The 21,172-nt window shown below is 50.8% G+C and overlaps 1 protein-coding gene across 25 annotated transcripts in view, besides 7 other annotated features; it reads right to left on the bottom strand.

Moving 5' to 3' along the window:
- Positions 1–21,172, bottom strand: part of CAMTA1 (calmodulin binding transcription activator 1) — a 984,253-nt gene that overhangs the window by 804,597 nt on the left and 158,484 nt on the right. The gene's annotated exons all lie outside the window — the stretch shown is intronic.
- Positions 1,771–1,820: a silencer, noted in NCBI's record as "silent region_182". NCBI's record gives its function as "represses an Ori minimal core promoter by ATAC-STARR-seq in GM12878 lymphoblastoid cells {active_cell/tissue: GM12878}" and the evidence as "EXISTENCE:reporter gene assay evidence [ECO:0000049][PMID:35858748]".
- Positions 2,061–2,300: a silencer, noted in NCBI's record as "silent region_181". NCBI's record gives its function as "represses an Ori minimal core promoter by ATAC-STARR-seq in GM12878 lymphoblastoid cells {active_cell/tissue: GM12878}" and the evidence as "EXISTENCE:reporter gene assay evidence [ECO:0000049][PMID:35858748]".
- Positions 2,531–2,630: a silencer, noted in NCBI's record as "silent region_180". NCBI's record gives its function as "represses an Ori minimal core promoter by ATAC-STARR-seq in GM12878 lymphoblastoid cells {active_cell/tissue: GM12878}" and the evidence as "EXISTENCE:reporter gene assay evidence [ECO:0000049][PMID:35858748]".
- Positions 7,563–8,092: an enhancer, noted in NCBI's record as "OCT4-NANOG-H3K4me1 hESC enhancer chr1:7017078-7017607 (GRCh37/hg19 assembly coordinates)". NCBI's record gives its function as "activates a minimal SCP1, AML or CMV promoter by ChIP-STARR-seq in primed H9 embryonic stem cells {active_cell/tissue: H9 hESC(primed)}" and the evidence as "EXISTENCE:reporter gene assay evidence [ECO:0000049][PMID:30033119]".
- Positions 8,093–8,623: an enhancer, noted in NCBI's record as "OCT4-NANOG-H3K4me1 hESC enhancer chr1:7016547-7017077 (GRCh37/hg19 assembly coordinates)". NCBI's record gives its function as "activates a minimal SCP1, AML or CMV promoter by ChIP-STARR-seq in naive and primed H9 embryonic stem cells {active_cell/tissue: H9 hESC(naive and primed)}" and the evidence as "EXISTENCE:reporter gene assay evidence [ECO:0000049][PMID:30033119]".
- Positions 8,624–9,153: an enhancer, noted in NCBI's record as "H3K4me1 hESC enhancer chr1:7016017-7016546 (GRCh37/hg19 assembly coordinates)". NCBI's record gives its function as "activates a minimal SCP1, AML or CMV promoter by ChIP-STARR-seq in primed H9 embryonic stem cells {active_cell/tissue: H9 hESC(primed)}" and the evidence as "EXISTENCE:reporter gene assay evidence [ECO:0000049][PMID:30033119]".
- Positions 13,450–14,153: an enhancer, noted in NCBI's record as "H3K4me1 hESC enhancer chr1:7011017-7011720 (GRCh37/hg19 assembly coordinates)". NCBI's record gives its function as "activates a minimal SCP1, AML or CMV promoter by ChIP-STARR-seq in primed H9 embryonic stem cells {active_cell/tissue: H9 hESC(primed)}" and the evidence as "EXISTENCE:reporter gene assay evidence [ECO:0000049][PMID:30033119]".

Below are 21,172 nucleotides of genomic sequence, written 5' to 3'. Positions count from 1 at the left end.
CCCTGCTTCTTCCTTGCCAGCACCATGCACCCAAGTAAGAGAGGGTCAGGCAAGTCTCCCAGACAAGACCCTCCCTCTCTGTTAGCACAGACTCTAAGTCTCTACCTGCTGCTCTGCGACCCTTGGAGGAGGGCTCAAAGCCCCTCCAACACAAGACAGCTCTTTCCCAGCCGACCCGGCCTCTCCTTCCCAGCTCTCAAAAAAGACACGGTGGAAGACAGTCCCCTACTTCCATCCACAAAGGCCTTCAGCTGACTCGTCTCTCCATAGAAATCTCCTGGTCCTCCTTCCAGAGAATCCCTGGCGGCATCTCACAAGCAACATATACTGAGTGCTTCCTGCATGAGGCCTCTTGGAGAATCCAGCCACTCCTCTAAGCACCTCAAAGGGACCAAAGCAAAACAGCGTCTGCGGGGATTTCTTATAAAAGTGTACAAAGGAATGAGTGTATCAGTCACGTTTCTACTTGTGACATTAGCCTGTGGGGGCAAGAGAATAAGAAAATGTAGCCTCCTTAGTATAAAGTGTCCATATGGACCTACAGAGTGGCTACTACCAGAAATATGCTTTCTCCAACCTGGGAGAGAGGCAGCCATGGCTTTTCCACCCAAGAAACAAAGACTGCAGTGTCAGATAAAAGGTGGGACCTAGGCACAGTTCTTCCAAGTTCTATGACATCCTCTGAGACACTGCAGATGGAACATCCAGAGAAGCCATCACGTTGTGCCCCTGTACAAAACAGCCAGGACGCTGCGCCCTCCCCAGGTACCCAGGACGCTGCACCCTCCGGGGGCACCGAGGACACTGCACTCCTACATGAACACCCAGGACTCCGCACCCCTATACAGACCCAGGACACACCACTCCTACCCAGACCTCCAGGACGCTGCACCCCTACCCAGGCACCCAGGCCCCTGCACTCCTACATGAACACCCAGGACACTGAACCTACCCAGATCCTCAAGACACTGCACCCCTACCTGGGCACCCAAGGTACTGTGCCCCCACCCAAAGCACCCAGGACACTGCAACCAAACCAGACACCCAGGATTCTGTATCCTACCCAGGCACTCAGGACTCTGTACCCCTAACCAGGCACCCAGGATTCTGCACCCCTATCTGGGCACCCAGGACGCTGTGCCTCACCCAGAGCACCCAGGACACTGGGTCTTCTGCGACAGGCGCCCCAGCCTTTAGCAGGACCCAGTGTCCCCCAGGGCACAAAGGGAAGGAAACTGAAGTGGAACAAGGGCCCTGGCCCTTTCCCATTGTTAGGGTCAGGGCTCTTGGCCCATGGTGAGGGGCGTCTCTGCTCGCACGGTCGCCACCTCCAGTCCGCAAAGCGCAGCTCCCCGAGCCGCGCCCAGCCCCCAGGCCCCGGGAGCGCGCCCCCCCAGCCAGGTCAGCAGCCCGCCCCACCAGGTCTGGGGAGGGGTCGGAGAGCGGACAGGTGCAGGCGGGTTGAGGCGCCGCCTTGCCCGATGCTTCCCCTGGCAGCTCTGCTTCCTTTACTCGGGGTTTTAAAGGTCATGTTCTCCGTCAGCGGAAACATTCTACATGACACTTCTGAGACAGAGGCTCCTTTAGAGGCATTTAATCCAAGAAAGGCACCCCCTGAAGAACAGGGTTTATAGGTCACGGCTCAGACGGCCTATAAATCACGCTTGCCGCTGCGGGGCGCCAGGCGGGAGCTTGAAGGCCAGGAAAACAGGGTGGGGCCCGATTGGAAAGAGGGGTGGCTCCAGAGGGGCGGCGCGGGCAAGGAGGGGCCAAAAGGGATGGAGGGCGGGGCCAGTCACAGGGCAAGGCCGGGATGGAAAGCGGGGGGGGGGGGGGGGCCAGGTGGGTGGGAGGAGCCAGATGGGGCGGGGCCCATAAAGGAAAGATGGGTAGTTCCAAAGGGGCGGGGCGGGTGAGGAGGAGCCAAAAGAGATGGAGGCTGGAGCCTGCCAAGGAGCTGGGTCAAAATGGAAGGTGGAGTGGGTGAGGCCAGAGGGTGGGATGGGTCAAATGAAGGCGGGGCCCTAATGGACAGAGGGGTTGGTCCAGAGGAGAAGGGCCACAAGGAATGGAGAATGGGGTCTGCCACAGGGCGGGGCCAGGGTGGAAGGTGGGAATGGGCAGGGCCAGACGGGTGAAAGGGGCCAAATGAGGGCGGGGCCCCAACTGAAAGAGGGGTGGGTCCAGAGGAGCTCGGCAGGCAAGGAGGGACCAAAAGGGATGGAGGGTGGGGCCAGTCACAGGGCAAGGCAGGGATGGAAAGCAGGGGAGTGGGTGGGGCCAGATGGGTGGGAGGAGCCAGATGGGTGCGGGCCCAAAAAGAGGGGTGGGTCCAGAGGAGCTCGGTGGGCAAGGACGAAAAGGGATGGAGGATGGGGCCAGCCATGGGGCAGGGGCAGGATAAAAGGCAGGGAGTGGGTGGGGCCACGTGGGTGGGTGGAACCAGACAGGGGCAGGTCCACAGAGGAAAGAGGGGTGGGTCCAGAGGGGCGGGGCGGGTGAAACGGAGCCAAAAAGGAGGGGTGGGGCCAGGTGGGAAGGCTGGATGTGGGCGGGGCAAGATGGGTGGATGGGACCAGACGAGGGCAGGTCCATAAAGGAAACGGGATAGGTTCTGAGGGGGCGGGGCTGGCAGGGAGAGAGGAACCAAAACGGAAAGGGTGGGGCTATAGAAAGGGTGGGCCCGGGGAAGAGGCCAAATCGGAGGGCGGGCCCAGAGGGGGAGTGGAAGGGAGGAGGGGCGGGGCGGGGTGGGGAGGGGCAGGCGCTCTCCTCCAGCTGCCCCTGGCCCCTCGCCCCAGGGACCAGCCTCCCAGCAAGGACCAGCTGACCTGGGGGGAGTAAAATGAGGTGGGTGTCCCCGCTGCACAGGCCGGGGACACAGCGTCACCTGTTGTCTGAGACCTGCGTGCCTTGTCGGGGTCCACCATGTATCTGGCACTCGGAGCACACGTGTGTCCTGAATAAATCGGGGCCCCGGCAGAGGCATGAGACAGAGGCGTGAGGCCCAAAGCAGCAGGCTCCAGGCTCTTGCGCGCCACGGACACCGCGAGGGAGACACGTTTGGGGACAGCCCGGAGGCTGAGGGGGCTTGGCTTTGACCCGACAGGGCAAAGGACTGCCATACCGGAAGACGCTGGACTGGCCGCCGGGGAGAGATGCACAGCGCCTTCCCTCCCTCCCCAGGAAAAGGGGCTTCCCTGCAACAACCTCTGAGCAAGGCGCACTCTGGCCGTCCTCCCAGGGACACCCAGCCAGACGCCCCTTCTAGTTTAGAGGCTGGGGGCAAGCCCGGTGAGAAAGAATCAGTCTAGTCCTCGTTTGCACCCAGTTTTCAAACATTCAAGCTGGGCTGGTCCTGCGGTATTCATGTCCTTTGGAGACCGAGAATGAATGGGCTTGGATCAATTCAATCAATCCCCTCAAAATGTTAAAAACCTAAGAAAGGTCACTGCCAGTGAATATTCCTTTCAGAAGCCTCACCCTCCCCACCCGCCCCAAACTCCAGAACTATGTGTCAAGGAAACATGACTGAGAGCCCTGGGCTCTCACGCCCCCGGCTCAGCCCAGGCTGCCACTGGGCCCAGGGTGAACACAGGACCCAAGCAATGGCCAGCAGGAACGCATGGTGGTCGGCAGGCAGCGCACCTTCTTGCCGGCCCAGCACCCAAGGTCTTACCAGCACCCCAATTCCCTACACGGTCACGATGGTGGCGCCTGAACTGGGAGGGACGTGACGTGCAGAGCTCATCCCAGCAAGTCTGTCCTTCAGTTCCCGCTAGGTCAGTCCCTCTGGCCTCCCCAAAGCCCTTCCTTCCAGCGTGCTCCTTCTGCAAGCTACTTAGATCCTCACAACAGAATCCCTGTTTAGCTTAATTTAGCTAGAGTTGGTTTCCACGGCTTACAACAAAGGAAACTTAACTGCATCGCAGCCCAATCGCTTTCTCCAAACCTTCCTAAATTCAGACAAGTTAGGGAAAAGAAGAGTGAAATGAGAATTCATTCCAGAAACTCCCCTAATAAGAATCACTATATACAATCTGTAGCTACAAAATCACTTTAAGCAGATGTTTTCACTCCAGGCTGCCTGGGTTTAAAACTCCCAGCTCTACCACTTACCAGATGTATGATATTGAGAAGTTACACAACCTCTCTGAGCCTCAGTGTCCTCACCTGTAAAACAGGCTCATCATAGAACTAACTGATGTCATGGGGTTATAAAGGCTAAATCCTTTCACATATGTAAAGAGCTTAGAACAAGACCTGCACAAAGTAAGAGCTCTGTGCTTGGTCACTGAAATCAAATTAAACCATCCACTGGTCCTCCATGTATGCATCATTTCCTCAGCACCCACTGCACACGCAGCACTGCCCCAGGCACAATGACACAAAGGCAGAGTGGGCTCTGCCCTCGAGAAGTCGCTGTCTAGCTGGAGAGACAGACTTGTAAACACATAAATCCGTGTCCGATGTGATAAGACTATTCCGGAGGTATCAACAGAGTGCTGTGGGACATGGAGGAGGAGTGATTAATTTTGCTTCAGGCGGTGGGGGAGTCTTTGCCGAGGAGGTGACATTTGAGCTGGACTTTGAAAGACGAGCTCTCCACAGAACTAAATCTGGACCCAGTGCCAAGAGAGTCAGCCTGGAAAATCAATCCAGCCACCGGGAGGAGGGGCAGTCGGCCCAGACTGCCTTCCCAATGACTCCCTGCCCTGGAGGACACGCAGCTCCTCCAAAATGGGGGCCCACACTGTCCCTGGAGCCCAGGCCAGGCCTCTGTTTCTAACTTGGCCTCATTTTCCCTCCATCTGGCCCCCTCCACTCACGTCTCGTTTAACTGCTCTCTGCCCCCAGGAAAACTCCTCTGGTCTCTGCCCCTTGAAAGCAACTTGCATTTTCTTTCTCCAAGAACAAAAATCATCATAATTGCTTTTAAATTACATCCTACCTTTATAGAATGCTTTACAGATTTCAAGAAAAATTAAACATAGAATAACAGTCAAGGTCAGAGCTTAATCCTAACTCTGCCACCAACTACCTGGTGACCTGGGACTGGTTATTTAATTTCTCATGCCTCAATTTCCTCATCTGTAAAATGGAATCACAGGGTTGCTATGGGGATACAATGATGAACAGGCACGCAGTGTTTAGAGCAGGATCTGGTGAAGAGTGGGTCCTCAGTGAGTGCCTTCATGTGTGTCCTCTCCCACCCTGGGTCTCTCTGCTCTGCCCATGGGACCTGAGTGACTCTGTGATTCATGCAGAAGGGGTGCTGCAGAAGGCCAGACCTGAATCTGAACCCGGCTCAGCTCTGGGCTTACTAGTTACTTACTAGTGAAGTGACCTTACAAGAGCAACGTAACCTCAAGGAAAATGGGGCAGTCAGGGCTGTCTCACAGACTATGGAGATGATTCCTAAGATAATGCATGCCACGCTTGGCTACCTACTATGAAAGACACGCTCAGTCAACATTAGCTACTTTTATTAACAATAAATACTTTCCTGGCACCTGACTTTATGCCTCATCTCCGTGATGAGGCTATGACCTCTTTTGCAGCCTGAGGCAAATCTCACTGGCACTTGCGGCCCCACCATCCCCTGCCCGGGACCCGGTACACCGGTAGGCACCCGGGAAACACTGACTGACAATCTGATTACCAGTCGCCCTGGGCCTGCTCTGAGCAAGTGGCTTCATCCAGCTCAGCTTAGTGGTAAGCAGTGGTGCCCAAGGCCGCCGCTTCCTGCAAACTCCCTCACAGTGTCCCCGTGTCCTATGGGGGACCCCTCCACCTGCCCCAGCCTCCCACAGGCACACATCCATCTCTTCTTCACAGCGTCTGAGCTACTGGCTCAGAGAGGACTGTGGCCACCCTTTTCTCCCAGAACACACTGTGTACAAATCTGTGATTTCCCCTGGATATCTATATAATTTTTTCAATACAAACTGAACCAAGGATGAGCATGTTTTCAGGACTCTCTGCAGAATTGCTGATGTTATTTTTGAATTGTCGGCAGCAAGGACTCTGCCAAAATACTCAAGGTCAAGAGACCAGCATGGTTCTAGGCAATCTGTACCTCTTAAAACAGTGACAAATATGTTATTTAATTTTAATGAGCTTTTTTGCATCTCAAATCTAATTACAGCATTATCAAGTACTGCTTTGAACTGCAGGTGGCTTCTCATTACGTGTGCGAAGCCTGCCACGAGCATTTTTCGTGAATACTAATAACTGCTTAATTTTACTATCCGCTTAAAAAAAAATAAAAACTTTCAGCAACTTACAAGGCTGGGCTTTATAAAGCATCTGTGGAGGGTGAGCCACACAGCAACGCAGCTTAATTAAAAAAAATAAATACTGTATGTGGCCACCCTGGAGGGTGACAGCTCGGGAAGCTGCAGAGGGGTGGTGGACTAGGCTGGGAGGAGATTCGCTTCATGCACTTCTTGGAGGCTCTGTTTTATTGCAGGCTTATTGCGTCACATTCAAATTTCCCAATTTGCTTGCAGTTCAGGGAGAACGGTTCCGTCAACAGATTTTCTGGGTGACGGACTTCAGTAATAGGCCTGGAGCTGGAGGTCCCTGGGGATGCGCTCCAGAAATCTGTTGTGTGGACAGGTCCAGGGAGATGCCTGGAAATTCATCAGAGAACCTGTCCGAGAGGAGAGTCCAGCTGCCTCTCCGCCAGGCTGGGATGAAAGAGCAGAGGTGGCCAGGGGGTCCGGGGCTGCGGATGAGACGCTCTGCAATCCCAGAATGGTGAAAGTTTTCAAAACCTGTGGCCATGACTCCCTGCTGGTGGGTTTGTGCAGCGTCTGGAGTTTGTGTGTTGTTCGTTTATTTTGAAAACTGTTAAAGCTGAACTTTATCTTATACCAGCAGGCTTCCCGATTTGCACCTTCTCCAGGGAGGGGCCTAGGGGAAAGGTGGATGCTAATGCTAGGTTCTCCAGGAAGGAAAGGGTGCACACTTACCATTTTCATTCAGGGAGACTCCCACACAGTCTGGGAAGCCATGGGGTATGTCCACTCCTGGGTTTTGTTCACGAAAGACCACACCCTGTCTCTGACTGGGAGCCCCTAGAAAATGCAAGTGACATCTGAGGTGCAGGCCGAGTCCAGTGCTGACAGGCGGGAGGGAACAGAGAGGCTGTTCTCTCTCTGATTTCCTGTAGGACCAGCTCAGCTTTGCTTCCTCACGTCTGATCCTTGCCTGTGCCCAGCTCAGAGGGCACAAAAGTCAAGCTGGCTCAAAGCCCTACTCTCCACCTGCCTGTGGCAGGCAGAATAATGGCCCCCTAAAGATGTCCACGTCATAATCCTCAAAACCTGTGAATATACTACGTTACATGGTGAAAGGGAATTAAGACTGTAGATGTGATTAAGGCAACTAATCAGCTGATCTCGAGATGGAAACAATCACCTTAGTGTACTCATGTACCCAATGGAATCACATGAGTCCTTACAAATGGAAGATAAAGAAGAGGCAGAAGAGAGAGTCAGAGAACTATGATGTTCTCTGAAAGAGACTTGACTTGCCAGTGCTGGCTTTGACGACGGAGGAAGGGGCCACCAATCAAGGGATGCAGGTGACCTCTGAAAGCTGGAAAAGCCAATGCAACGGATTATCTCCCAGAGTCCAGAATAGAACACAGCCCTGCCAACACCTTGATTTTAAAACACCGAGACCCATGTCAAAATCAAGACCCAACTTCTGCCTTTGGAGCTGCAAGATAGTACATTTGTGTCACTTTAAGCCACCAAGTCTATGGTAGTTTGTGATAGCAGCCACAGAAAGTGAATACGCTGCTAAGAGCTGACCTGGAGGCAGACAGCAGGGCCCCCAGTGTCAGCATCACCAGTCCCAGTGCTGGCCACATTCAGGCTGGGGTGGGGTAAGAGCATCCTGTAACACCTCATCAGTTGCATCCTTCCCCCTTAGATCTGCGGCATACATGCTTCTTTCCCAAAGAGCGCATCTGAAGCAAGCCTCCATCATCCCTCTGTTGAATCACATGGTTTCTTAGGTCCCAGCCCCACATCCAAGGCGCTCTGATTCGTGGGTTTTGTCTTGAAGTTTGTCATTTAGCATAAGAAGGGCAGGCCTCGCAGCCCAGCTGGGAAGACTGCAGCAGCTCAGCTGGGCCCCCACCAAGGCCATGCTGGCCCGACCGCTACTAACTAACTAATCCCACCCAGGCCTCTTGCTGGCCATGCCTCCTCGGGATGAGGGTGGAGGAGCCTCAAACAAAGCCACACCTCAAGGCAGAAAGCATCCCTGGTGTCAGCTTGTCAGGCAGATGCTCTGCTCCCACAGTCCCGACAGACAGAGGGAGTTAATGGGCCAACACTGAGCCCTTTGTTTTTATAAGAGAACAAGTGGTTTATGACAAAGAACAAAGTTTCCCTCTTTACGAGGCCATCCTTGGTGCTCCCTCTCCAAGCCCATTAAGCCTGGTTATCTCTTACACAACACCGCCACACAGGTACTGCTGCCACCGACAAGTTCATTTAAGAGAATTTATAGCCTAATTGTGCAGCTGTTGCCTTCTGAGTCAGTTTTAAGAGATTGTTACACAAGCAGTGTCATAATTTAGTCATGTTTTCATCTCACAACTATACTGTAATTACTGTTGTTAACAGCAAATGGTAAACAAGAGAGTGAAGAGGACCAGCCAAAGAGAGTACTCACAAACCGTGCATCAAGCAGGGGCAAGGGAGAAATGACACTTGGGACCCTGCAGAGCTCTCCAGAAAGCCCACAAGGCCCCATCAGCCTCTGAGGTTGGCCATGAGCTTCAAGCACATAGTATGCACCTGAGTATTCACCTGGAGGGAAGGGGGAATATTTTCTGCCTCCCAAATTCCTACTAGAAACTAGGGTGCTGATAGGAGATCAGGGACCCCACCATAGTGAGCAGCCTCTGGCCCTGCTAGTTCATCTCTGCTTCCATGGAGAGCTGCCGGGGCCAGAATGCAATAGACCTCCAGGTGGTTCTGGACTCAGGGATTGGGGAGCCCCAAGCGGTGTGCATGAAACTGAGGCGACGCTCAGTACGTATCTGAGGCTCTGCTGCAGCACCTGCTCGAGCGGAAGATACTGAAAAACCCTGCAAAGGACTTGCCGGAAGCTGCAGGAACAGCCCTGACCCTTGCCTCCTCAGTGCATGCTTCCCTCCCTGCTGCTGCCTGAAGGGTTATTGATTTGCACAGGAAGACCCGCGGGAGAAAATCCCTCTGACAGCCTTGACTCTGCTGGGCATGGTGCAGGATGGAGGTCAGGCCACACAGTCCTGGCAGCTGACCTCTGCCCCATCCAAATGGCTTCTTGCTCCACAAGCAACAAAATGCCCCCATCAGAGCTCAGTGGGGCTCAGCTAGACACGTGTTCACTAAGCCCCGTGAACATCTTACCAGGCACGGAGCTAGGGACCGGGCACAGCAACATCACTCCAGGTAGGGCCTTCAGGAGAAACCTGATCTGACTCAACAGTCACAACAATAGTAGTAATACTGGTTGCCACCGCACACCTGACAGCCATCCTAAGCTTTGAGGCTTTCTTGTTATCCCCAGTTTATAGAGAAGGTAAATAGCCTGTCCAGGGCCACAAGGCCAGGACTCCACCCAGATCTGAGTCAAAGCCCCCGACTCCAAACCCCAAGTACTATTTCCTGGACCTGGCCTTTGGCTATAGACAAGCAGGGGCCCCTCAGCTTGACCGTGGTTCTCACTCTGACCCACTGCAGCCCCTAGCTTCCTAAGGGTCAGATGCCTCTGGCGCCAGGGAAGAGGAGTGGAGGGGTGAGGGGAGATGGTGAGAGTATAGCAGGGTGCACGCCCAGTGCTGACATCATCATCATCACCGTCACTATCGTCTACCCCCAGGGGAGGTCCTGTGGGCCTCTTGGCAACCCCTGTCCCTGCTCCCCCAACCCCCCACCCCAGCTCATCCAAAGCCACTGGCCATGATTAGCTGGAACTGATTAGGGAAAGGTCGGATGCTCTTCAGAACAGGGTGGCTAATGAAAGTGGAAGACTCATTTCCAGATTGCCAGAGCCGCAGACAAAAATTGAAGGTCCGGAGACAACAATCAATAAACACGAAGCTCTTCTAACGGAGGAGAATAAACACTAGGAAGTGAAGCGAAATCGAAACGGTGACCTGGAAAACAGGCACATGCTGAGAAAGGTCAGGGTGGTCTTGAGAAGGGGAGGGCTGCACCATAGACGAGGCTGCTCCCCAGCCCGTCCCAGGCAAGCAGAGGGAAGGCGGCGTCCAAGGAGGTGGCAGGGCCCCGCCAGCTCAGCTGTGCTCAGAAACAAGTGCCTGCCTGCGTGGCTCCCACTCCAGCTGCCCAGGCGGCGGGGCAGGGCTTTCAAAGGCACTCGCGGTCCTTGAGGATTTAGTCTTAAGGGTCGGGCTCCCCCGAGCTCAGAGCCTGTCTCCTGTGTGGCCTTGAGCAAGAGCCTTAACCTCTGAGAGTCTTTTATCATCTCATTGGCAGACTCCCCACCACTCGGGCTACTATGTACCAGGTGCAAGGCTGGGACAGAGTGACTCTTCCTATTCTGCAAAGGAAAACTCAGACCTCAAAATCTGACAAAATCATTGTGTGCAATTTGGAGGCAGCCTAGGAGATCCACTTTGGATAATGAAATACTGGAACTCGTGGGACAAAGGGGATAGCACTATGGTTTATGAGGATAAATAAGCTGGAGCTTCCCCCGTCCACACCCCAACAGCTCGAGCAATAGGAGCGTTACTCCTGCAGGGTAAATCCCCTTCAACCCCACAACAGCTGGGGAACTGACATCAAGTCTGCTCCAGTCTTTCCACGGGGCACCTGGCCCTTGGACGTGCTGTCAAGAGCCTTAACCATGGCCTGCTCAATCATCAGGCGACCAGCCAGGGCGTCATTTAGAAAGCCATGATGTGGGACCAGCTTTCCCAGCTGGCTGGCTGGCTGGCTGGCAAAAGCAACACAAGCTTTTCATGAAATGGTGAGAAAAAGGACAAGTCCCAAATGGCACATGTGGCTGATGGTGGAGGTCAGGGTTCAAGCCACGCAGGCATCCTTCCCAGGCAGGGGCCTGAGCGTCCCTCCCCAAGGACCCAAGCCCTCGAGTGCCGCCCTCAGGTCAGCAGCACTCAGAAGACCTGGCAACCCCAGCCCTGGAATCCGGAGCCTGCTCAGTGCTGAAAGACTGCGGCTTCTCCCACAGAGGCAAACCCGTCGTTTCACGGACTTCCACCCCATCACCGGCTGTTTATGCCAGTGTCGTGCTCAGCCATTTTATGTAGGATTATGTGCTGTACGTACCAGAAAGCTCATAAAAAAAAAAAAGAAAAAAATTGAATGAACATTGTTTTTAAAAGGCCCTTAAAAGGCTATAAAGTGCAGTGACTTTCATACCCTTGGGTTTTTCCATCTTATATTAGAGTCCCTCAATCAAAGCCAACTCTGGGCATAAGGAGGTGACAAGGAGGTAAGAAAAGTGGATTCCAAGGTCAGGAAGATGGGAAATTCAGGAGCAGGCAGGCTCCCTGCGGGGCCTGGGCTTCGGTCCTAAGCCAGCCCTCCTGAGCAAGGCGGCCCTGAGCAAGGAAGGACTTGCTAGGTGGGATCCAGACCCAGGCCTGAAGCCACAGCCTCCGGGTATGATGGTGAAAGGACCCCCACCAAGGCTACCAGGGGACTCACGCGGCGAGAAAGAACAAAGACCAACTGAGATCTTGGCCACGTTCCCGGGGTTGGACCCTGGCCCCTCCAAGTCCTTCCAGGTCTCCACATGGCTCACAAGGGCCAGGGACATGCATGGTGAAAAGAGAGAGCTCTCGACAGTTTCTAGAATCTGTTCTAGGTCTCAGACTGGGCTCGGCTCCACGAATGGAATCTATACTGAATCCCTGGAAGCTGCAACACTGATATGGAGAGAAAACGACGGGACAGATGCAGGACGGGCTATCAGGCAAACATTACAAATCATGTTTGCAAAGAATATTTAATAACTGAGGGAAATGCTGACAATATGGTATCAAGTGAAAAAGTAAGCTACAAAAAATATGAACCCGATGTTATGAAACAAGCAAAACACACATATGCCCTGGGGTTCGGAAGGCGGCGGGAAGGAAACAGAACCCAGTGTCCACCACGGTGGCCTCTGGGTGATGAGATCCGGGGGATCCCTGTTTTCCTCTTAATTCTTTTCTTTTCTGTATGTTCCAAGTTCCCTGCAATTAATAATTGTTTTTATTTTTGTTTTTTATTTTTTGAGATGGAGTCTTGCTTTGTCGCCCAGGCTGGAGTACAGTGGCGTTATCTCGGCTCACTGCTACCTCCGCCTCCTGGATTCAAGCCATTCCCCTGCCTCAGCCTCCCTAGTAGCTGGGATTACAGATGCCCGTCACCACACCTGGCTAATTTTTGTATTTTTTAGTAGAGACAGGGTTTCGCCATGTTGGCCAGGCTGGTCTCCAACTCCTGACCTCAAGTGATACACCTGCCTCAGCTTCCCAAAGTGCTGGGATTACAGGCGTGAGACACACCTGGCCAAATAGTTGTTTTTACAACTGAAATTGATTGTGCTAAAATATAATACATATTTAAATAATATTTATTCCCAAAGAAAACTCTTCACTATGTTATCTCTTTTTTTTTTTTTTTTTCTTTTTTTTGAGACAGAGTCTCGCTCTGTCCCCCAGGCTGGAGTGCAGTGGTGCAATCTTGGCTCACTGCAAGCTCCACCTCCCAGGTTCACGCCTTTCTCCTGCCTCAGCCTCCTGAGTAGCTGGGACTACAGGCACCCGCCACCATGCCTGGCTAATTTTTTTGTATTTTTAGTAGAGACAGGGTTTCACCATGTTGGCCAGGATGGTCTCGATCTCCTGACCTCGTGATCCGCCCGCCTCAGCCTCCCAAAGTGCTGGGATTACAGGCGTGAGCCACCGTGCCCGGCCTATGTTATCCCATTTGATGCCAGAAACATCTGAACCACCCAGTATTGTTTTCCTTCTCTACACAACTGTCACCATTGACAGAAGGCACAGTGGGATGCAGACGGCAGGCTGGCAGAGTGGGACTCACTGGGCAGAGGCTGGACAGGTGGGAGATGGGGTTTGGGGCTGTGGTTCAAGGGAGCAGCAGGAAGCCAGTCCAGACCCAGAGACGGAACGCAACACCTCACCCTCATCCAGCACCTCACAGTTCGCACGGCATGTCTCACAGTCTTACTGCGCTTGACAGTTTGCATGCACCCTCACCCTGGAACCCCGCAGGATGACAACAGAGGCCTTTCCCAGGCTGGGGCTAACCTCTCTCTGCTCCAGCCTCAGCAGGAAAGGGGACAGGCTCTTGGGCCTCGGACAGGGCCCAGGAAGGCTCCGGACCCTGGACCCACTCTGGGGAGCTATAGCCCGATGGCCGAGGAGGCGGGAGAATGGTCCCCCTAGAGCCTCCCACCCGTGGAACCCAGGAGGAGACTGGGGTCTCCTGAGTGTCTGTGGGGGCTGGAGCTTTATGGAAATGGTCTCTTTTTTGTTCTTCCCAATAGTCCTGGGGGATAAAGACGCTTCTTATAACCCTCATTTTATGGAGGAGAAAACGGAGACATTTGTTCCTTAAACAGGAATCTGTTGCATCCAATATGTGCCAGGCTTCTCCCAGAGACTTTCCATCCATTATCCCACTCAATCCCCACAATATCCCTGTGAGATATGGAATAGTTCTCAAATTTTAGAGATGAGAGAGCTAAGGCTCAGAGAGGTTAAGTGACTTACCTAAAGTCACTTTACACAAATGTAAAGCTAAGATTCAATACCTATTGAATGAATGAAGGAACGAATCCCATCTGATCCAGATCCCCCACCTGTGGCCTCCCCAGCAGACAGATGTCAGACTCCTGTTTTAACTGTGAGTTTTTATCCTTTTCGCCACTGGACCCCATAAAAAAGTGGGAACAAACACATTTCCCTCCTCTAGGACCTGTCTTGGGTCCTATGGGGATTCTTGACCCCAAATCAGCTATAGAAAGGTTGTCTGCAACTCCCAGCCCAAAACCACAAGGAAAAGCAAAAGGAGGTCAACTGTGCAGCCTCCTCCTTCCACTCCAGGCAGAGGCCAGGCCACTGCCTCAGGTCTCCATGAGCAGCAACAGCACAGATGCCCTGCAGGAGCCCAGCTCAGGCCTCAGAACACACGCTGGACACCTCCTGCTGGTGGCCAGCCCATGACAGGAAGCCCCTCCCTGGGCATCCGATTGTAGAGCGTCCTGGTCCTACTTCTCCCCAGTGGTAGTTGTCGGTCATTAATGCTATGACCTGTTCTCCCTGCTTTGTGGTACATGACGGGAGTGCTCCTTCGTAGCACTGTGGTTGATTGGTGGGGCTGGGGGGTGGGGGTGCATGGGACCAGTTCTGCCCAGTGAGCTGCAAAGGAGCACAATGCTTCTGGCTGGGATACCTACTAATCAGTTCAAGGCCTCCAGGACTCCACATTCTCTCTGGCACAGTGACCAACAATACTCCATCAGCCAGGTCTCTGATTGGCCACCCACCTGCAGTGAGCATGTGGCAGGAGTGAGAAAACGCCTTCTGCTGTTTTAATCCACTGAGCTATGGGGCTGCTGCTTCTTATAGTCTATTCTGATATGAGTTTTGGGAGGAAGCCTGGCACAGAGGCACTTGGGTTCCTTTTCCACCATTCAAAGTCCCAAAGCTCTCAGCTCTGGATGCCAAGGGAATACTCTCACTGTCTGTAATTTAAAAATATAACAAAAGCACACACCCATCAAGATAAGAGGCTGCTGTGATGTTGCAGGAACTGACAGCCTCCATGGGCCCCAGACTCCTCTTGGTAATTAGGCCTGTGTGCAAAGCAAGGGCGTGTTGAGAAGGGTGGGCTGGGAACATGAGAAGGCCGTCCCCCTCCTTGCTGCCTCCGCCCAGCCAGCACCATCCCCTGCCCCTGGGCAGATGAGACCTCTGCTCAGCCTCCGTGAGGCAACGGCCAGAGGCTGAACTAAGGGCCAGCAGAGAGAAAGGCCCACAGATTCACCCTTCCTTGGGTGTCATAGGGCCTGCATGGGGCCTGGAATCAGGCACACGTAGAGCCCATTCTGGCTCTGCCACGTTTTGCTGTGTGGCTTGGCAGCATGACCCACGCATCTGAGTCTCAGTGCCTTTTCCTGTCCCATGGGGATGCAGCCAGCATCCCGGAGGCTGGCAGTGAGGACCAGATGAGATAATGACGCAGAAGGGCCTGGCGTGCCGAGGGCAGAAGGCCTGGTCACTGCCCTCCCTTTTGCACTTACTTGTTGTGTGGCTTTGGGGATGCAACGTTAATGTCATCTTTTGAAAAATGAACTTGTTGGACTAGGTTAGCTCTACAGTGAGAAGATTGGGGCTCAGAAGTACTAAAAAATTTGCCCAAGGTCATTCAGAGAGTGAGCTGCAGGGATCTGACTCTGGCATCTGGGTTCTAGCCTCTCCAATCCAGGTCTTCAGGAGGTAAGGTCTGAAGGGGGATTGGATGGGTGAATTTCCTCGCCAGCAGCCTTTCTAGAGCACTTTACAGCTTCGTCAGCGCTCAGCCGGAGTTCTGTGATCTTGGAGGAAAATATTGGCTCTTGGAGTGGAAGAGGAAAGGAAAGTCACAGAGGCCAACATCGTCTTGCAGAGATTCTCACCCACAGCATGATTCACGGGGTCTATAGAATGGGGACCCCCTGCATATGTCTGCCCTCGAGGGCGTTCAAAGCGGGATCTCCCATGATGTCAGCAGAAAGGGCTGCAGTTCCTATGTGGGATCTGGCCCCAGCCCTATCTGCTAGAAACTCTGAAATTCCAACAGTTCGAGGACCCTCACAACTCCCAGGCACCACCCTCCTGCCCTAACCCCACTTCCCCCAGGAACACTCAAGTATGGGGGCTGAAATGGAACAATTTAGCCTATTTAAATTAATCATTGGTTCTAAAGATAAAGTCTCAGAGTGGATTAGTCACAAGGACCGGATTAGTCAGACTTATCTCAGAAAAGACAGGAGTTTGCTTGAACAGGTCCCTTGCCTCAGCAGATGGTCCCCTTCTCTGCTTTTCCCTGGAAGATTATCCCACCTCTCAAGATACAGTTAAACCCTAAAGTGGGGGATAACACACAAGGAGACACACGTCAGGGAGCAACAGCACCTGCCAAGGCTGGCCTCGTGGGAATTGCTCTTTTATCCATCTTTGTTTCCCTTTAATAAATTTCTTCGATCACCTCAGGCCTTGTGGTCCGAGGAAAGCAGGTAGAATTTGGGGGTCAAATGCCTGGGTTTGAGGGGAGACCCTGCCATTTCTGAGCTGAGTACATGGAGCACTTTACTTAAGCTCTCTAAGCATCAATTTTCTGAACTGTGGGAAGAGGATAATAATGCTGAGTGAGGATTAAGCCATACGCCATACAGCAACTGTCCAGCATAGTGTCTAACATAGGGAAGATAATCAACACACATGATGCCCCACCCTGTCCCCACCATGCCAACATTTCCCAAAGGCCAGGAAAGTCACTTGAGCTCTCTAAGTGCCAGTTCCTCATCGGTAAATGGAGGACAATAAAACTCATCTTTCTTATCTGACAGGGTTGCTAAGAGGATGAAACGAGACACTGATGAGAAAGCCCTCAGTGGAATGTACAAGTGCTGTCATTTCTATCTTGCTCTTACCTACGCATGTACATATGGGAAGCAGCCGGTACACAGAGAGGAGCTTAGTGCTACCAGTGAGACTTCCAGAGCTTCTCACTAAACTCTAAATGTCATCCACCAGGTTGGCTGGTACCTCCCCCAAATGCCTACCATATATGAAGATGGCAGCTGGGGGAAAGGCATTGCAGCAAGCAGACTGTACACAGCAATTCTGGCCTGGCCCCACAGCTCTTCGGCTGTAACACACCCTTGGGCAACTTACTTACCCACTCTAAGCCTCAGTCTGCCTATCTGTAAAATGGGAATAAACATGATAATTACTGACATGACGTTAGGATTTAGATTCATTTATTCCTTCCATTCAACATTGTACTGGAGGTTCTAGGTGGAGAAATTAGGCAAGAAAAAGAAACAAAAGGTATCCATATTGGAAAGGAAAAAGTAAAACTGTCTCAATTCACAGATGAGATGATCTTGTATGTAGAAAATCCTGAAGAATCCACGAAAACTCTATTAGAACTGATAAACAAGTTCACCAAGGTTGCAGGATACAAGATCAACAAACAAAAATCAATTGCATTTCCATATATTTACAATGAAAAATTCTGGAAATAAAATTAAGAAAATAATTCCATCTGTAATAGCATCAAAAGGATAAAATACTTAGGAAAATTTAACAAAAGAAATGCAAAACTTATACTCTGAAAACTATATATAACATTGTTGAAAAGAATTAAAGACAGACCAGGGGTGGTGGCTCATGCCTGTAATCCCAGCACTTTGGGAGGCCGAGGTGGTGGATCACTTGAGGTCAGGAGTTCAAGACCAGCCTGGCCAACATGGTGAAACACCATCTCTACTCAAAAAAAAAAAAAATTAGTCAGGCATGGTGACACGCGCCTGTAATCCCAGCTACTCAGGAGGCTGAGGTGAGATGAGATAATCACTTGAACCGAGAAGGTGGAGGTTGCAGTGAGCCAAGATTGAACTACTGCACTCCAGCCTGGGCAAACAGAGTGAGACTGTCTCAAACAAAAAAAAAAAAATTAAAGACAATGGAAATAAATGGAAACACACCCCATGTTTTCCATGGGATGCATTCCCATATACAAATAATAAACAGTCTTGAAACAAGATTTCAAACAATTTTGAAAAAGCGAAAAGAAGTTGGAAGACTCATAGTTCTCAATTTCAAAACTTACTACCAAGCTATAGTAATCATGACAGTGTGGTACGGGCATAAGGGTGGACATACAGATCACTGCACAGAGATAGAGAGTTCAGAAGTTAACCCTCACACTTATGGCCAATTGATTTACAAAAAGGATACCAAGATAATTCAATGGGGGAAAATAGAGTCTTTTCAACAAATGGTGCTGGGACAACTGGATGTCCACATGCAAAAGAATGGAGTTAGATCCCTCCCTCACACTGTATACAAAAATTAACTCAAAATAAATCAAAGACCTAAGCGTCAGAGCTACAGCTACAAAACTCTTAGACAAAAACATAGAAGTAAATCTTTATGACCTTGGATTAAGCAATGGTTTCTTAGTTATAACACCAAAAGCACAAACAGCAAAAGAAAAACTAAACGGAACATCATCAAAATGTAAAACTTTTGTGCTTCAAAGGACACGGTGAAGGAAGTGAAAAGACAACCCATAGAACAGGACAAAATATTTGCAAATCCTATCTCTGACAAGGGATCTGTACCTAGAATATATAAAGAACTCTCACAACACAATGATAAAAAGACAAATACTATTTTAAAATTGGCAAAGAATCTAACAGACATTTCCCCAAAGAAGATACACAAATATATATAAAAAGATATGCAACATCATTAATCATCAGGGAAATGCAAATCAAAACCACAATGAGATACCACCTCATACCCAGTAGGATGGCTATAATCAAAAAGAAAGATAGGTCTAGTTAAGATGGCTTATCCCTGTAATCCTGGCACTGTGTGAGGCTAAGACAAGAGTTCAGAAGGCCAGGAGTTCAAGGACCAGCCTTGGCAGTATAGCAAGACCTCAGCTCTAAAAAAATCTTTTAAAAATTAGCCAGGCATAGTGGCATGTGCTTGCAGTCCTAGCTACTCAGGAGGCTTAGGGAGGAGGATCGCTTGAGCCCAGGTATTTAGGCTGTAGTGAGCTATGATCACACCACTGTACTCCAGCCTGGGTGACAGATTGAGACCTTGTCTCTAAAAAAAGAAAAAAAAAAAAAGAAGAGAAAGAAAGACAATAATATCACCTGAGGATGTGGAGAAACTGGAACTCCCCTATACAGCTAGTGGGAATTTCAGATGGTGCAGCAGCTTTGGAAAACAGGCTGGCAGTTCCTCAAAAGGTTAAACATGGAGTTGCCATGTGACCGAGCAATTTCACTCTTAGGTATATGCCCAAGAAAACTGAAAACATGTGTCCCCACAAAAGGGATTATACAAGATGGGTCAAAGCAGTACGATTCATCATAGCCCAAAAGTGGAAGCAAACCTATTGTCCGTCGACTAACGAATGAACAAATAAAGTGTGGCTTAATCCATACAACAGGATGTTATCCAGCAATAAAAAGGAATGAAGTACTGATACACGCTACAACATGGATGAAACTTGAAAACATTATGATAAGTGAAAGAAGCCAGGCACAAAAGACCATACATCTCATGATTCCATTTATATAAAATGTCCAGAATAGGCAAATCTATAGAGACAGAAAATGGTTGCCTAGGCCCGGGGAGACAGGAGTGACAGCTAAAAGGCATAGGGTGGCTGGGTACAGTGGTTCACGCCTGTAATCCCTGCACTTGGAGGCGAAGCAGGAGGATCACTTGAGCCCAGGAGTTTGAGACTAGCCTGGGCAACCTGGCGAAACCCCATCTCTACAAAAAATACAAAAATTATCCAGGCGTAGTGGTGCACACCTGTGGTCCCAGCTACTTGGGAGGCTGAGGTGGGAGGATCACCTAAACCCAGGAGGTTGAGACTGCAGTGAGCCGTGATTGTACCACTGCACTCCAGCCTGGAGTGAGACCCTGTCACACACACACAAAAAAAATTAGTTAAAAAATTAAAATTAAAAAATTATAAAGGGCATAGGGTTTCCTTTGTGGGTTATAAAAAGTGTTGCAGAATTGGTTGTGCTGATGGTTGCACAACTGCCTGAATACACTAAATCCATGGAACTATACATTTTAATGGGTGAATTGTAAGCTATATGAATTATATCACAATAAAGCTGTTATCAAAAAAGATTCATTGATTCATACAAGTATTTGAGTACCCATCATATGCCAAATACTGCTCTAGGTGGACAGGATACATCAGTAAACAAAACACACAAGATCCCTGCCCTCTCAGAGTAGGAGCCAGACAATGCACATAATAAAAACACAAACCACACGCAGGCGCTCCTCGACGTACGATGGGGCTACGTCCCAATAAACCCACTGTAAGCTGAAAATGTCATTAAGTCAGAAATGCATTTACTACACCTAACCTATCAAACACCATAGCTTTGCCTACCTTAAATATGCTCAGAGCATTTCCATTAGTCTAGAGTTGGGAAAAAATCAAAATTCAAAATTCGAAGTATGGTTTCTACTGAATGCGTATCACTTTCACCATTGGTACAGTGGAAAAACTGCAAAACGAACCACGGCAAGTCAAAGACTGTCTGTAGTATGTCAGAAAGTGATAAATGTTATTTTAAACGAGAGAAACAGGTAGGGGCTCTGAAATGCATGGGAGGGTTATGACGCAATGTGACACAGGGAGACCGGGGCAGGTGGTGCAGTCACTGGGGCAAACACTGGAGGGTGGTGGAGGACAGCATGGGACCGCCTGGGGAAGGGTGTCCAGGCAGAGGGGACAGGAGAGCAGCCTGTGCCTGTGCCATAAGGCAGCAGTGTGCCCATGTGTCTGAGCAAGAGCAGGAGCTCAGTGTGGCTGCAGGACGTGATGGGGTGGGGTGTACAGGTCCTGGGGACCATCATAAAGGCTTTGGGCTTCTCCACTGAGAGAACAGGAAGGCCCGGGTTGAACAGAGGACTGTCACGGACTGACCTGTGTTCTAAAAGAGTCACTCTGTTTGCACACCCATGTTCATAGTGGCATAGTTCTCAATAACCCAAGTGTCATTGGGCAGACGAGCGGATAGGCAAAGGTGGTCCATTCATACAATAGAATGCTATTCAGCCTTCAAAAGGAATAAAATTCTGACACATGCTACAACATGGATGAACCCTGAGGACCTTGTGCTAAGTGAAATAGGCCAGTCACAAAAGGACAAATACTGTATGGTTCCCTCATTTGAGGCTCTAAAAGGAGTCAGACTCACAGAGACAAAAATTCAAATGCAGGGGTGCCAGCGGCTGGGGGGATAGGGAGATGGAGAGTTCGTGCTTAACAGGAACAGAGTTTCAGTTTGGGAAGATAGCAAAGTTCTGGAGATGGAGATGGTGATGGTACCACAATGT

This window comes from Homo sapiens, chromosome 1 (assembly GCF_000001405.40).
Source record: "Homo sapiens chromosome 1, GRCh38.p14 Primary Assembly".
Lineage (NCBI taxonomy): Eukaryota > Metazoa > Chordata > Mammalia > Primates > Hominidae > Homo > Homo sapiens.
This window is presented reverse-complemented; position numbering and strand designations above follow the sequence as displayed.